This window comes from Homo sapiens, chromosome 19, assembly GCF_000001405.40.
Source record: "Homo sapiens chromosome 19, GRCh38.p14 Primary Assembly".
Lineage (NCBI taxonomy): Eukaryota > Metazoa > Chordata > Mammalia > Primates > Hominidae > Homo > Homo sapiens.
Window position 1 is genome coordinate 47,870,386 of NC_000019.10, and position 17,851 is coordinate 47,888,236.

Below are 17,851 nucleotides of genomic sequence, written 5' to 3' on the forward strand. Positions count from 1 at the left end.
ATCCGCCCTCCTTGGCCTCCCAAAGTGCTGGGATTACAGGTGTGAGCCACCGCACCTGGCCTTATGAAAGTTTTAGAAGCCTCCATAAACACCGTTTATTGTATATGGTTTAACAACACAGAGTAAGAGGATAAAATTAGATTGCAAATTACACTCCTTAAGATCAGAGCAATAATAAATTGTGGAGATACATGTGATGAAAAGAAATGGAACCTTAATTGCTCCTGTAATTTTATTTCTTATTTTTATTACTAATTTTTGCTCTAAAATCTGTCACTGTAGCTATTTCTTATTTTTATTAACAAACATTTAGACATCCTTTTAGGTAGTACGTACATTATTCTTGTAGCATTCTGTAAACGGGAAACATTGCAAACATTTAAAAAAGTCTGGGATCCCATGACTCAACTCACTGCAACCTTTGCATCCCTGGGCTTTGAACCCTGGTTCTCTGAACCCTAGTCACTTCTTTCTTTTTGAGACGGTCTCGCTCTGTCACCCAGGCTGGAGTGCAGTGGCGCGATCTTGGCTCATTGCAACCTCTGCCTCCTGAGTTCAAACGATTCTCCTACCTCAGCCTCCCGAGTAGCTGGGACTATAGGCGTGCACCACCATGCCCGGCTAATTTTTGTATTTTTAGTAGAGATAGGGTTTCATCATGTTGGCCAGGATGGTCTCGATCTCCTGACCCCGTGATCCTCCCCCACCCCCCCGACCTCCCAAAGTGCTGGGATTACAGACATGAGCCAATGCGCCTGGCTAATTTTTTTTGGTTTTTGTATTTTTAGTAGAGATGGGGTTTCACCGTGTTAGCCAGGATGGTCTCAGTCTCCTGACCTCGTGATCCGCCCGTCTCGGCCTCCCATAGTGCTGGGATTACAGGCATGAACCACCGTGCCTGGCCAACCCTGGTAACTTTTAACAAGGAAGGGATCAGAGATGCAGAGGTTTGATATTTAAGGTTTCAGGATAAAATAATAAGTCTTACACAATGACCCCAGTCAGGTACATGTACAAGGACAGGAGAATCAATGTCATTCTCCATATAAGATCCAGAGTGTTTTGGACGTTATTCCCATGGGAACAGCTCTCGAGGAAGATCTGCCATCTTCTCTTGGAACAATTTATCAAAGTCTTCAGCTTGGGCCACTGTGAAGTGATTTTTCCAGTCCCCAGATACACCTGGAAACAAGAAGCAGAAACTCAGGTCAGACCACACATCTCCTTGACCTGTCTCCACCAGGCACCTGACATGGACATTGTAGCTAACATAGCAGAATGGCCGATGGTTCGTGGTGGGCCTTTATCCTGCCTGGTCACATAGTTATTCACCTAGCTGGAAACAATTTCCTATTTTCTCCTTTCTCCCATCCATCCTGTGTACAATTCCTCAGCAATAACGCCAGTATATCATCTGATATGTCCAGAATCAAGTCACGTCTCACCACCTCTGTTTCTACCACGTTGACTCAAGCCAACATCATTTTTCACCTGGATTATTAGAGTACACTTGTAACTGGTCTCTGCTTTTTTTTCTTTTTTTTTTTGTAGAGACGGAGTCTTGCTCTATCCCTCAGGCTGGAGTGCAGTAGCGCGATCTTGGCTCACTGCAACCTCTGCCTCCCGAGTTCAAGCAGTTCTCGTGCCTCAGCCTCCCGAATAGCTGGGATTACAGGTGCCTACCACCACGCCTGGCTAATTTTTGTATTTTTAGTAGAGATGGGGTTTTGCCATGTTGGCCAGGCTGGTCTCAAACTTCTGACCTCAGGTGATCCGCCCGCCTTGGCCTCCCAAAGTGCTGGGATTACAGGCGTGAGCCACCACACCCGGCCTGGCCTCTGCTTTCATAAGTTCTCTTTCATAAGTTAGTCTCAGCATGGCAGCCCTCATGATCCCAGATCATGCCACTTCTCTGCTCAGATTTTCCGAGGACTCTAGGTTTCACTCAAGTACAAGTGCTGGAGGCGCTTACAGGGCTCCAGGTGATCCAGCCCCTGTGGCTTCTCTGAGCTCATCCCCTAAAACTACCCTCTCCGTCACTCTACTCACACGGGGACTTCTGATTCTGCCTCAAACGTGGCAGGCATCCCCACTCCTCAGACTATTGGCGTCCCACGCTCCTTCTCCTTGGAACGCTGCTCTCTCAGATTGGCCCATGACTTGCCTATTTGCCTCTTTCAAGTCTTTATTCCAATTCAAGTTTCTCAGCGAGGTTCTCTCTCACCACCCAATTTAGAGGTCACTCCCCATCCTTGCTGTATTTCGCCTCATAACACATATCATGTAGGACAGGTTCTGTGTATTTTCTTTCTGTGGTGTATGTGTATGGTATGTATCCCTAATATAGATAAGTTATACAAAGTCTCAGCATTTATCTTTTTTTTTTTTTTTGAGATGGAGTCTTGCTCTGTCTCCCAGGCAGGAGTACAGTGTTGTAATCTCGGCTCACTGCAACCTCTGCCTCCTGGGTTCAAGCGATTCTCATGTCTCAGCCCCACCCCAAGTAGCTGGGACTACAGGTGGGCGCCACCACACATGGCTAATTTTTGTATTTTTAGTAGAAACAGAGTTTCACCATGTTGCCCAGGCTGGTCTCGAACTCCTGAGCTCAAGTGATACACTTGCCTTGGTCTCTCAAAGTGCTGGGATTACAGGCGTGAGCCACCGTACCCGGCCAACGTTTACTTTTACGATTGCCCAAGACTCTGGGTCTTTTGAAGGATTTAATTCTTTTCTTCCACGGAGGACTGTCCCAGATGTATTAGAACTGTAGGATTTTGGAAAAATGGATTTTTGTTTTGAGCCGGAGTTTCACTCTTGTTGCCCAGGCTGGAGTGCAAATGGCAGGATCTCGGCTCACTGCAGCCTCCTCCTCCCAGGTTCAAGTGATTCTCCTGCCTCAGCCTCCCGAGTAGCTGGGATTACAGGCGCCCACCACCACACTTGGCTAATTTTTTGTATTTTTAGTAGAGATGGGCTTTCTCCGTGTTAGCCAGGCTGGTCTTGAACTCCTGACCTCAGGTGATCCACCCGCCTTGGCCTCCCAAAGTGCTGGGATTACAAGCATGAGCCACCACGCCTGGCCCTGGAAAAATGGATTCTTTCACCCCATGCAATAGACATTTCCATTCATCTTGGCACCTTACAGCGTGTGATAGCAAAGTCTCTCTTCTCTCCCTTTTCCAGGTGAGGCATTCCTTCACACATTTCTTCATCCAGGACAGATCTCTTTTTTTTTTTTTTTTTTTTTTTTTTTGAGACGGAGTCTTGCTCTGTCGCCCAGGCTGGAGTGCAGTGGCACGATCTTGGCTCACTGCAAGCTCCGCCTCCTGGGTTCACACCATTCTCCTGCTTCAGCCTCCCGAGTAGCTGGGACCACAGGCACCCGCCACCATGCCCGGCTAATTTTTTGTATTTTTAGTGGAGATGGGGTTTCACCATGTTAGCCAGGATGGTCTTGATCTCCTGACCTTGTGATCCGCCCGCCTCGGCTTCCCAAAGTGCTGGGATTACAGGCATGAGCCACCGCACCCGGCCCATCCAGGACAGATCTCTATGCTAACTCACCAGTGGGGCAGCTGCACTGTGGCCATCCCCAACCCCGTCCTTGTCCTCATTTCTCAGGTGAATCACAGCTTGTAGGTCTAGCAAGGGTTGCTAGTTAACCTGCTCACTGTCTGTAGAATGGATAATGCTCATGTCACATTCTGAGGAAAGAGAATCTGAATGACCTCACGTAAGTCAGATAACCTTCCCGGGCGGAACCAATTTTCCCCACCCACCTACAGCCCACATCAGTACCACAAGAAGAGGCTCCCTGCTGAGGCCACGGGAGAAGTGTTCTGGGCGATGAGCAATTAAAGCTGATAAATTGGCCGGGCGCCGTGGCTCATGCCTGTAATCCCAGCACTTTGGGAGGCCGAGGTGGGCGGATCACAAGGTCAGGAGATCGAGACCAGCCTAGCTAAGATGGTGAAACCATGTCTTTACTAAAGATACAAAAATTAGCTGGGTGTGGTGGCGTGTGCCTGTAATTTCCAGCTACTCGGGAGGCTGAGGCAGAAGAATCACTTGAATCCTGGAGGCGGACGTTGCAGTGAGCTGAGATCGCACCACTGCACTCCAGCCTGGGTGATAGAGCAAGACTTCATCTCGGAAAAAAAAAAAAAAAAAAAGCACTCTTTCATCTCAACTGTTAGCGCCCAGTTGTGACCATAGGCATGCATGCCGTGTATTCTGGTATATTTGGAAACCAGAGGATTTTCTTTTACCTTTTCTCAGAAGTTGTGCTTTGTCCACTACATAATCAACACTCAGGAGGGAATAATTGGACATCTTGTTTTCTTTCATGCTCTGAAAGGAGCTGTTCTTGAGAATTAAGTTCAGTTCTTCGGGTTCTAACGTCTTTCCCAGGAATTGACAGATCTTCTCTATGGTTCTTCCTGTGTCCTAAAAAAGAAAAATCAAGAGAGAGGATACGAAAGAGAAAGACAAGGCTGGGCGTGGTGGTTCACGCCTGTAATCCCAGCACTCTGGGAGGCTGAGGCGGTTGGATCACTTGAGATCAGGAGTTCGAGACTAGCCTGGCCAACGTGGTGAAACCCCATCTCTACTAAAAATACAAAAATTGGCAGGGTGTGGTGGTGGGCGCCGGTAATCCCAGCTACTCGGGAGGTTGGGGGAGGAGAGTTGCTTGAACCCAGGAGGTGGAGGGTGCAGTGAGCTGAGATCACGCCACTGCACTCCAGCCTGGTGACAGAGTGAGACCTTGTCAAAAAAAAAAAAAAAAAAAAAAAAAGACAATAGAAAAAAGTAAGATGAGAAGGAGGGAACCGCAGAATGAGGAGGAGGAGGAAGAAGAGAGGAACAACATGCAGATGTGAGAAGGGATTGAGTTGAATGCAATTAGGAGAAAGAAAGAAAAAAGGTAAAGAAGAGAGGGCATGAAGTATGTAAAAGATGCAAGGATGGGTTGGGCGCCGTGGCTCCTGCCTGTAATTCCAGCACTTTGGGAGGCTGAGGCAGGCGGATCACTTGAGTCCGGGAGTTTTAGACCAGCCTGGGCGATATAGTGAGACCCTGTCTCTACAAAAAATACAAAAATTAGCCAGGCATGGTGGCGCACAGCTGTGGTACCAGCTACTTGGGAGGCTGAGGTGGGAGGATCACCTGAACCCAGGAAGTTGAGGCTGCAGTGAGCTGTGATTGCACCACTGTACTCCAGCCTGGGCGTTGGAGTGAGACCCTGTCTCAAAAACAAAACAAAGCAAAACAAAACAAAACAAAACCAACCAGAAAACCACAAAAGATGCAAGGATCATCGTGGATTTTCCCGTATGGTAGAGTTTAGGACAACTTAACAGTAAAACACAGAGCCTCGGGTTTCCTAAGAGACGTTTAGAGAGGCTTCTAGACAGTAATTAGGGTTAGCAAGGAGAGGTTCAGGGAGAATCTGATGGAGATTGAAGGCTTGATTTCAAATCCTGGCTGTACTGTCAGATAGTACTGTTTCCCATAACTAGCTTTTGAATAACACACAGAGTTTTACAATATCTTCTTATATTTCATCTCAATAATTAGGACTAGGTACATGATCCTGGGAGATTAATAGATTTTTATTTTTAAAATTTTATTTATGTATTTATTTAGAGACAAGATCTCACTCTGTCGCCCAGGCTGGAGTGCAGTGGCATGATCTCAGCTCACTGCAACCTCCGCCTCCCAGGCTCAAGCAATTCTCCTGTCTCAACCTCCCGAGTAGCTGGGGTTACAGGCGTGCGCCACCACTCCCGGCTAATTTACGTATTTTTAGTAGAGAGGGAGTATCACCATGTTGGCCAAGCTGGGTTCCAACTCCTGAGCTCAGGTGATCTGCCCACCTCAGCCTCCCAAAGTGCTGGGATTATGGATGTGAACCACCGCACCTGGCCAACAAAATGGATTATTGTAACCAGAAGGACTTTGCTTTGAATCATAGGCCTTACTCTTAGATCTATAATGCTTTAATTTTTTCCTCTATTTCATAAACCTTGGTTATCTAATAAGAAGATGTACAACTATGGAAATAACTAAAATAAGTTCATTGTGTGATCCGAAAGGAAGATCCCAGGAAGGTATGGGATCGTGTATCTGAGGTAGCCAACCAAACTTGTTACAAAGGGCTTCTTAACAGAAATGAAATTCATTCCAGCTTGGTCAACGTGGTGAAACCCCATCTGTACCAAAGATACAAAAATTAGCCAGGTGTTGTAGTGCATGCCTGTAATCCTAGCTACTTGGGAGGCTGAGGCACGAGAATCACTTGAACCGGAGAGGTGGAGATTGCAATGAACTGAGATTGCGCCACTGCACTCCAGCCTGGGTGACAGAGCAAGACTCTGTCTAAAAAAAAAAAAAAAAAAAAAGATGGCCGGGCGCGGTGGCTCATGCCTGTAATCCTAGCACTTTGGGAGGCCTACGGGAGGATTGCCTGAGCTCAGGAGTTCGAGACCAGCCTGGGCAACATGGTGAAACCCTGTCTCTACTAAAAATACAAAAAAAAATTAGCTGGGCATGGCGGCGTGCATCTGTAGTCCCAGCTACTCAGGAGGCTGAGGCAGAAGAATCGCTTGAACCCGAGAGGCGGAGGTTGCAGTGAGCCGAGATCGTGCCACTGCACTCCAGCCTGGGCGACAGAGCAAGACTCCACCTCATAAAAAAAAAAAAAAAAGAAATTCATGCCCAGACCATAGGCCATAGAGGATTGGAGAGGATGAGCCAGAGGAAGGTGTTGGGACGTGACGTTTCCCAGGTGGTACAAAATCCAATGTTGGTGTTATTTTCTCTTTTATGTGAGATATCACTAATAGGTCAAGTTCTTTTTTTTTTTTGAGATGGAGTCTTGCTCTGTTGCCCAGGCTGGAGTGCAATGGCATGATCTCGGCTCACTGCAACCTCCGCCTCCTGGGTTCAAGCGATTCTCCTGAGTAGCTGGGTCCTGAGTAGCTGGGACTACAGGTGCACAACACCACGCCTGGCTAATTTTTTATATTTTTGGTAGAGATGGGATTTCGCCATGTTGCCCAGGCTGGTATCGAACTCCTGACCTCAAGTGATCCCCCTACTTTGGCCTCCCAAAGTGCTGGGATTACAGGTGTGAGACACCGTGCCCAGCCTTCTTTTTCTTTCTTTTTTTTTTTTTTTGAGACAGGGTCTCATTCTGTTGCCCAGCCTAGAGTGCAGTGGTGTGATCTCGGCTCACTGCAACCTCTTCCTCCTGGGTTCAAGTGATTCTCCTACCTCAGCCTCCCAAGTAGCTGGGACTACAGGTGCCTGCCACCATGCCCGGCTAATTTTTTGTATTTTTAGTAGAGATGGGGTCTTGCTATGTTGGCCAGGCTGGTCTCGAACTCCTGGACTCAAGCCATCCACCTGCCTTCACCTCCCCAGTGCTGGGATTACAGGCGTGAGCCACTGAGCTTGGCCTCAAGTTGTTCTTTCAATACTTGCTGGTTCTGAGTATCATCGGACAGCTTTTCCTCTCCGTCACTATTCACTCCAGTACTTGGATCTCAGAATAGTGAGATAAATTGATTACATGCCTTCATTTCTGTTCATACCAGCCAAGCTGAGATGTCAGACACTCGGAACCATCTCAGGAACTAAATCACTTCTACCCAGTCCCATCCTCTCTTCCAGCGCCCTCTCAACGCTTGGTTATCAGCAGCACCATAGGTCTCACCCAGAGAAATGTTTACATACACCAGTGCTAGCAGGAGACATCACACTCTGCCTCAATGCATGGAATATGCTCCTTATTTTTATTTTTAGAGCCGGCGTCTTGCTCTGCTGCCCCAGGCTGGAGTGCAGTGGTGTGATCATAGCTCACTGCAGCCTTGAATTCATGGGCTCAAGTAATTCCCCTGGCCTCGGCTTCCCGAGTAGCTGGAATTAGAGGTGTGCACCCCCCACATCTGGCTAATTTTTTTTTTCCTTTGTAGACTGGAGTCTTGCTGTTTCGTAGACTGGAGTCTTGCTGGTCTCAAACTCCCAGCCTCAAGTGATTCTCCCACCTCGGCCTTCCAAAGTGCTGGGATTACAAGTGTGAGCCACTGCACCCGGTGCCAAAAAACCTCTCTAGATTTTTTTTTTTTTTTTTTTTTGAGACAGAGTCGTGCTCTATCGCCCAGGCTAGAGTGCAGTGGCATGATCTTGGCATATCGGCTCACTGCAAACTCCACCTCCCAGGTTCAAGCGATTCTCCTGCCTCAGCCTCCCGAGTAGCTGGGATTACAGGCGCTCGCCACTGCACCCGGCTAATTTTTGTATTTGTAGTAGAGATGGGGTTTTATCATCTTGTCCAGGCTGGCCTTGAACTCCTGACCTTGTGATCCACCCACCTCGGCCTCCCAAAGTGCTGGGATTACAGGCGCCAGCCAACGTGCCTGGCTTAGATGTTTTAAGATAAAATAAGGAGCGTGAAGCTTGGGCAAGGGTCAACCAGAAACAGGGCAATGAAGACCAGGGAGTTAATCCTGCTCTTTGTGACTCTTCACCAGGCTCCACTTTAACTGAGAGGGTGGAATGAAGACACAGCGGGATGGAGGGAATTTAAGGAAAGTAAGGATGGTGGTGAGAGGGTGTGCACTGACTCTAAAAATGATGGGATTACCTGTTTCAGCTCCTCATAACTCAGTAACAGGAAGTTTTTCTCCTCTCTCATGGGCATCCAGCCATGAATGTGGTCAAACCATGACCCATATAGCACTGCATGGGGTGGCAGAAAAAGTGATAGGTTACAAATTTTATGAGAGCAGGCATCCAGTCTATTATGTTCATCCCCCCACCGGCTTGTTAACGTATGATTGACAAATAAAACTTGAATGAAACTTGGTCGAAGGGGACCAACAAATGGTATATATTTACAGTATATAACAGATGTTTTGATGTACGCATACACTATGGAATGACAGTGTATTAGTCAGTTTTCACACTGCTGTGAAGAACTGCCCAAGACTGGGTAATTCACAAAGGAAAGTGGCCTAATTGACTCACAGTTCAGTGTGGCTGGGGGAGCCTCAGGAAACTCACAATCATGGAGGAAGGGGAAGCAAGGCAACTTCCTCACAAGGCGGCAGGAGGGAGGAGTGAGTGCCAGCAGGGGAAATGCCAGCCACTTATAATACCATCAGATCTCAAATGTGGCATGTATACACCATGGAATACAATGCAGCCATGAAAAAGGATGAGTTCATATCCTTTGTAGGGACATGGATGAAGCGGGAAACCATCATTCTGAGCAAACTATCGCAAGGACAGAAAACCAAACACCACATATTCTCACTCATAGGTGGGAATTGAACAATGAGAACACTTGGACACAGGGTGGGGAACATCACACACCGGGGCCTGTCATGGGGCGGGGGGAGGGGGAGGGATAGCATTAGGAGATATACCTAATGTAAATGACGAGTTAATGGGTGCAGCACACCAACATAGCACATGTATACATATGTAACAAACCTGTACGTTGTGCACATGTACCCTAGAACTTAAAGTATAACAATAAAAAAAATTAAAAAAAAAACCTAGGCCAGGTACGGTGGCTCACACCTGTAATCCCAGCACTTTGGGAGGCCGAGGCGGGCGGATCACGAGGTCAGGAGATCGAGACCATCCTGGCTAACACAGTGAAACCCTGTCTCTACTAAAAACACAAAAAAATTAGCCGGGTGTGATGGCGGGCGCCTGTAGTCCCAGCTACTCGGGAGGCTGAGGCGGGAGAATGGTGTGAACCTGGGAGGCGGAGCTTGCAGTGAGCTGAGATCGCGCCACTGCACTCCAGACTAGGTGACAGAGCAAGACTCTGTCTCAAAAAAAAAAAAAAAAAAAAAACCTGAAGCTGTAATAAATAAATAAAACCATCAGATCTCGTGAAAACTCACTCACTGTCATGAGAACAGCATGGGGGAAACCACTACTATGATCCAATCACTTCCCACCAGGTCCCTCCTACAACACGTGGGGATTATGGGGATTACAATTCGAGATGAGATTTGGGTGGGGACACAAAGCCTAACCATATCAGACAGAATCAAGCTAATTAACATATTCATTTCCTCATATACTTACCATTTTTTGTCGGGGCGGTGAGAACATTTAAGATGGTCTCTCTTAGCAATTGTCAAGTATGGAATACATTATTATTATTATTATTATTATTATTATTATTATTATTATTGACACAGAGTCTCACTCTGTCACCCAGGCTGTAGTGCCATGGAGTGATCTCGGCTCGCTGCAACCTCTGCCTCCTAGATTCAAGCGATTCTCCTGCCTTAGCCTTCCAAGTAGCTGAGACTACGGGCACATGCCACCACACTCGGCTAATTTTTTGTATTTTTAATAGAGATAGGGCTTTGCCATGTTGGCCAGGCTGGTCTTGAACTCCTGACCTCAGGTGATCCGCCTGCCTCGGCCTCCCAAAGTGCTGAGACCAGAATGAAGATATTAATCAAGATGGTAGGACTTAATTAATAATTAGAGATAGGAAAGTGGTGAGGGGCCTAGGGGAGTGGGATGGGAAAAGAGAATGCTTATGAAATATTAGACTCATGCTAGTCTTTGCATGAGGGGTGGAGTAAGATAAACCCCACGCAGTTAAGAAAGGTGTTCAAATGTTTTTATTTGAGATGGAGTTTTGATTTTGTTGCCCAGGCTGGGGTGCAGTGGCGTGATCTTGGCTCACTGCCACCTCTACCTCCTGGGTTCAAGCAATTCTCGTGCCTCAGCCTCCTGAGTAGCTGGGATTACAGGCACCCACCACCACGGCCAGCTAATTTTTCTGTATTTTTAGTAGAGACAGTTTCATTATGTTGGCCAGGCTGGTCTCGAACTCCTGACCCCAGGTGATCCACCTGCCTTGGCCTCCCAAAGTGTTGGGATTACAGGTGTGAGCCACCATGGCCGGCTAATTTTTTGTATTTTTAGTAGAGACGGGGTTTCGTTATGTTGGCCAGGTTGGTCTCGAACTCCTGACCTCAGGTGATCCACCCGCCTCGGCCTCCCATAGTGTTGGGATTACATGTGTGAGCCACCGCGCCCAGCCAGAAAGGTGTTCAAATTTGAGTGTACTGAATTAGAGGCATTGGTGGCTCTCTCTAATGGAGGTATCTGTAGCTGGTGTATTGCAGAGAGACACATCACAGCTGAGATAGAGGCTCATAGAGTTTTGAGATCAATTGCAAAATGGAAAGTACTGAAAAAGCCCAGGAATTCTGCATAACTAAATATATAGCGATCCTAGAGTCATGCAATCAGTTCTGAGACAGATAGAAACAGAATATTAAGAGGGTTTTGGAAAGAGGCATCAGAAAAAAATGGCGGAAGGTCAGGATTGTGTTGTCCCGGAAGCCAGTGAAAAGCTAACTTCCAGACATCTAGCATTAGGAGACTAGAGGAGAATATAAGTTTCCTGTGCTAGTATTGGAGGCTCTAGAGACTTAGAAAATAGCTAGGATGGTTTATCATGGGGCAAGCTGAGGGGCCGGCTAGAGTTCTGCTGCTATGCGGGAGAGTAAGCGAACTTAGCAGGTTTGGCCTCCAGGGGTGGTGGAGCCTTTCAACCCATGGGTTGGTGAGATGTAGAGATGTGAGGCTGGGTGTCAAAAGAGGTCGGCTAGAAGACTCCAAGCACCCCCATATTTTGTGAAACACTCACCAGTTCCTTGACAAAACCATTCAAAATATTCTTCCCATGACTTTGGTTTCTTAATAAACTTCATGTTTTTCCAGAAAAAATAACCAGACACCAAAACATCTCTGGGATTTCTCATGAGATAAATCACCTTAAATGGAAAAACGGGAGAATGAAAAATCAATACAGTCAATCCTCACTCTTTTTGATCTTCACAAAAATGGAGAAAAAGCCAATTCCTGGATAATGCCTAATAATATCAATGGATTCTTTTAACAAATTACTTACTGCACTCACTAATCAAATTTGATGTGCCTATGAAGTAGTCACTGCACTAGGAATATATCAATGGAAGAAGGAAGCATCGTTCCTTCCCTCTGGGATATTACAGTCTGCTCACAATGGGAAGAACATGGAAGGTTTCCAAAGGTGAGTGATGTATATTTGTGTACTATGGTTTAAAGATCATTAACAGGAGAATGAATTCATAAATTAAGCTACATTCATAGATATATAGCAATATTATCCATATACAACACCCAAGATCATGGACACATTTCAGAGACATTACTTTGTCCTTTGGGCCAGGCATGGTGGCTCATGCCTGTAATCCTAGCACTTTGGGAGGCTGAATCACTCGAGGTCAGGAGTTCGAGACCAGCCTGGCCAACATAGTGAAACCCTGTGTCTACTAAAAATACAAAAATTAGCCAGGCATGGTGGCGCACACCTCTAGTCCTAGCTACTCAGGAGGCTGGAGCAGGAGAATCACTTGAACCTGGGGAGGTGGAGGTTGCAGTGAGCCAAGATCGCACCAATGCACTCCAGCCTGGGTGACAGAATGAGACTGTGTCTCAAAATAATAATAATAATAATAATTCACACACCTATAAACACCTTCCAGGAAAGTACAATTCTAGAAGCAGTCTGAGCCATGCAAGGTCCTGGATATGCCTTGTCCCTCTTGTGATCACCCCTCTGCCCCATGGGAGATGCATGTGGCTGCTGATATCAACACATATTTACACACAGTAAGACGAAGTGTGTACAGAGCCCAGTCCTGGCCCCGGGGCAGTCAACCTGGATACAGGCATTGATTGATGAACATGCTGCTTCCCATAGGAACACCTCTGTGTCTTTTCTGTGGCAGGAGGCATTTGTTGAATTCAGATTGGCTAATTATTTTTTAGGGCAACCAAAGGCGGTTATCTAGTATATAATATGGCTATACATTCTGATTGCACTTAGAACCTAGTTTTCTAAGATTCTGGGTTAGTGTTTTCACCCTATCCCTGGTTTAAATCTGGCTGGGGTAATCTGTGGAATGGTCTATATCCTTGAACTCAAGGACAGTTCTGGGAGCAGCCACATAGGTGTCACCTAATACGGAATCTCAGGTCTCAACAACACAGACCTGTTGAAGGAGAATGCATTTCAGCAAGATCTCCAGATGACTTATAGGCATATCAGTGTTTGAAAGGCACTGATCAAACACGTCTTAACCATTATGCACTGACCTTGGCCTTGGAACTGAAGAAAGACTTGGGGAATAACTGGATGGGGAGGTGGGAGGAGAATAAACGTGGACTCTCCGTTTCACTGAGTGCTGTATACCCAATCTCACTCTCTACCCAGGGTGATCGCTCCCAGATGGGCACAGATTGGATCCACTTGGCATCCCCCTTGGAGTGCATCAGGCAGAGAATCTCAGCCAACCAGTTTGTTCCTGGAAAAAGAAGGAAAAAAATATATAAAATGTACCATCTCAGCCGGACATGGTGGCTCACGCCTGTAATCCCAGCACTTTGGGAGGCTGAGGCAAGTGATCATGAGGTCAGGGGTTCCAGAATAGCCTGGCCAAGATGGTGAAACCCCGTCTCTACTAAAAATACAAAAATTAGCCAGGTATGGTGGCGGGCGCCTAAAATCCCAGCTACTTGGGAGGCTGAGGCAGAGAATTGCTTGAACCTGGGAGGCGGAGGTTGCGGTGAGCCGAGATCGTGCCATGGCACTCCAGCCTGGGCAACAGAGTGAGACTCAGTCTCAAAAAAAAAAACAAAAACAAAAACAAAAAAAAGTACCATCTCAACCTTAATTTTTTTATTATTTATTTATTTATTTATTTATTTTGAGACAGAGTCTTGCTCTGTCACCCAGGCTGGAGTGCAATGGCACGATCTCAGTTCACTGCAAGCTGTGCATCCCGGGTTCATGCCATTCTCCTGCCTCAGCCTCCCAAGTAGCTGGGACTACAGGCGCCCACCACCACGTCTGGCTAATTTTTTTTTTAATATATTTTTAGTAGAGATGGGGTTTCACCATGTTAGCCAGGATGGTCTCGATCTCCTGACCTCATGATCTGCCTGCCTCGGCCTCCCCAAGTGCTGGGATTACAGGCGTGAGCCACTGCGCCTGGCTTTTTTTTTTTTTTTTTTTAGCGATGAGGTCTCCCTCTGTAGCCCAGGCTAGAGTGCAGTGGTGCAATTATAGCCCACTGCAGCCTTGAACTCGGGCTCAAGTGATCCTTGTACTTCGGCCTCCTGCTTCAGCCTCGCAAGTATCTGAGACCTCAGGCATGTGCCATCGCGCTGGGCTAATTTTTTGAAAAAATTTTATTGTAGAGATCAGGCCTTGCTATGTTGCCCAGGCTGGTCTTGAACGCTTGACCTCAAGCAATCTGCCTATCTTGCCCTCCCAAAGCACTGGGACTGTAGGCGTGAGCCACTGCAGCCAGCTCTCAACCACTTTTTTTTTTTTTTTTTTTTTTTTTTGAGACAGAGTCTTGCTCTGTCACCCAGGCTGGAGTGCAGTGGCATGATCTTGGCTCACTGCCACCTCCATCTCCTGGGTTCAAGTGATTCTCTTGGTCAGCCTCCCGAGTAGCTGGAACTACAGACGTGCGCCACAGCGCCTGGCTAATTTTTTATTTTTAGTAGAGACGGGGTTTTGCCATGTTGGCCAGGCTGGTGTCGAACTCCTGACCTCAGGCAATCCACCTGCCTTGACCTCCCAAAGTGCTGGGATTACAGGTATGAGCCACCATGCCCAGCCTGTCAACCACTTTTAAGCCTACGGTTTCGTAGTGTTAAGTGTTAAGTATATTCCCAGTGCTGCTCAACCAATCTCCAGAGGATTTTTGTGTTGCAAAACCGAAACTCTATGCAGAGCCAGCACCGACTCCCCATTTACCCTTCTCTTCAGCCCCTGGCAGCCGCCAGTGTACTTTCTGTTTCTATGGACTTGATGACTCCAGGTACCTTATGTAAGTGGAATCACACACTATTTGTATTTTTGTGACTGGCTTATTTCATTTAGCATAATGTCCTTGATGTTTATCTCTGTTGTATCATGCATCAGAATTTTCTTCCTTCTCAAGGATGAATAACATTCCATTATAGCTATATACCACATTTTGTTTATTCACTCACCTGTCAGTGGATATCTGGGTTGCTTCCATCTTTTGGCTATTTGCTGAAATCCCTCTTATTATGTTCCCATTGCTCTTGGCCTCTCAGGGCCATGCCACTTCCAATGTCTTCAGCCTCAATCCTCACCGCATCCGCAGTGCTCTTACCGCCCTCCACCCACAGCCCCACTCCCAGAGACATATGATCCTCATCTTTCAGCCCCTTGAGATTGCCTGGCTCTTTTGTGGTTCCTGGCCATTGCCCTGATGATTCTCCTATCTGAAAATAGCCCTCCCCCCAAGTAATTTCATACTCATTCTTTGCATTTCCATTTAAATGCTATTTCTTCTTTCAGGACATCATTGGTCATCCTCAGCCATCCTCCCTCCCACTGCCACCAAACAAACACCTGAATTTGCCTTGGGATTCACTCCTGTGGATTCTCCTAATACCTTAGATTACCCCTCTGAACACTCATCCTACTGTGTAATTTCCTGACTAAATCCTTTTCTCTGATTGTCAATGGTATTAGGCATTCCTCTCTTCCCCTTAAAGCATTGTACACTGTCTGACATAAAGGAAGAACTCCAATCATGCACTGAATGGACAGGAACACAACCACAGCCTTTCTCAGTTCACGATTCTGCCTCCTTACCTGATTTGGGGTAAGTCAATATTATTACATCTTCATCCCTTATCACGAACTCATCACGTACTTTTCTTAAGGTTTCGGATCTGAAACCCATAGTAGGGAAAGCTATGCCTTCAAACCATAAGAAATCGTCCGACATGATGATGACCTCTTCCTGCGTGGTGTGAGGGTTTCAACTGTAGCCACCGCTGGAGGCTGTGGCAGCTACAGGCAGATCAGCTTTTACAGCAAGGATAAAACGATCTTTAACCTTGTCCCAGCATGTCACATGTTTGTTGTAAAGTTTACTTGCTGATAAAGAGAGGTATAATGTGACCCATACTCAAAAGATTGAAGATGTTGAGCAATCATGAACTTATCTAGAGACCATTTTAGGGGTCATCTGAGCTTGCGTTCCTGAGAGTGAACTGCAAGATCGAATAACAAACACGAGGACAAATATTTTTTTTGATAATATGGGTGAATTTATTTCTTAAGGTTTGAGTGCAAACTTAAAAACAAGAACAAAGCTTTTCATCAAGCATAAACACAAAATCTAAATAATCCTGCAATCGTGCATTTTAACAGAAAGTACAAATATGAATACATTATAATTTGTAACTGCATTTAAAAATTAAAATATGTCTCTCCAAATCCAAAAGACCACACAGTCTTTATCTGTTCTCATCTTGTTACCTTAGAAACATTTGTCATATGCTCTCAGGAAAATATAGGCAAGAATTACTAATCAGTTATTCACGATCAAAGAAACATTATTCTCCCTGAGACTTTTTGAATCATTTATCTGTATTTCTGAAGTATCACACAATTATACCTCCACTCTAGAGAAAAAAAGAGTAAGTACAAATATTAGCAGTGTATATATTGTAGTAAATTTTTAAAGTACAACTTTAGTTGATGGCTGACGTGTATGTAATAATTGTGAACAATTTAAACGGTATAAAAATGTGAGATGAAAATCTTTAGACTCAAATACTTGAAAAGTCACTATGAATATGGAAAGATTTGTTTGCATAAACATGTATGTTTTTAGATGGAAAATCAAGAGGTAGTGGCATCTCCCTGTTTCCTTAATAATATTTGGATTTTCACAAAGAATTGGCAGCACCCAACCTTAAGTGTTAATTATGTGTTTGTTTGTTTTTTTTTTTTTTTTGAGATGGAGTCTCACTCTGTCGTCCAGGCTGGAGTGTAGTGGCGCGATCTCGGCTTGCTGCAAGCTCTGCCTACTGGGTTCATGCCATTCTCCTGCCTCAGCCTCCAGAGTAGCTGGGACTACAGGTGCCCGCCACCACGCCCAGCTAATTTTTTGTATTTTTAGTAGAGACGGGGTTTCACCGTGTTAGCCAGGATGGTTTCAATCTCCTGACCTTGTGATCCGCCACGCCCAGCCTAATTATGTGTTTCTAAAGGACCTATACAACAGATCAGTTGGCAGTGTTCTAGCTTTAGGGAGATGGGGGTGGATTGGGGGTGCAAATATCTGAGATAAGATAATGCATGCACTCACACATTTAAAATCACCATTCTAAATGGGAAAAAAAAATCACATATTGGGAAAGTCCAAGAAACTCATTCTTAAGGGATAAACAGCAGGGCAGGAGCAAAAGCTGAATAGAAGTCTACTTGATAATAATGTTTTTTCACTCTTCAAAGGCAAGTTGGGAAGAATGAGAATACTCACATACACATAACTTCAGGGAAAACGTGCCTAGAATTTTACCTTGCAAAACACTGAACAGAAATCTTTACAAAAACCTTCATTCTTGGTCTGGGCACGGTGTGGTGGCTCACGCCTGTAATCCCAGCACTTTGGGAGGCCGAGGCGGGCGGATCACGAGGTCAGGAGATCGAGACCATCCTGGCTAACACGGTGAAACCCCGTCTCTACTAAAAATACAAAAAATTAGCCGGGCGTGGTGGCGGGTGCCTGTAGTCCCAGCTACTCAGGAGGCTGAGGCAGGAGAATGGCATGAACCCGGGAGGCGGAGCTTGCAGTGAGCCGAGATCTCGCCACTGCACTCCAGCCTGGGCGACAGAGCGAGACTCCGTCTCAAAAAAAAAAAAAAAAAAAAGGAAAGAAAAAAAGCCTTCATTCTTGTTTATAATACTTGATTT

At 45.9% G+C, this 17,851-nt stretch overlaps 1 protein-coding gene across 1 annotated transcript; it reads right to left on the reverse strand.

Moving 5' to 3' along the window:
- On the reverse strand, positions 82-15,930 carry SULT2A1 (sulfotransferase family 2A member 1). Its single transcript, NM_003167.4, has 6 exons — positions 15,737-15,930; positions 13,192-13,400; positions 11,699-11,825; positions 8,651-8,745; positions 4,272-4,449; positions 82-1,182 (listed from the first exon to the last, which is right to left on the reverse strand). Exons 1-6 carry the CDS (start codon positions 15,870-15,872, stop codon positions 1,070-1,072), a joined length of 858 nt encoding a protein of 285 aa, NP_003158.2. The 5' UTR covers positions 15,873-15,930; the 3' UTR covers positions 82-1,069.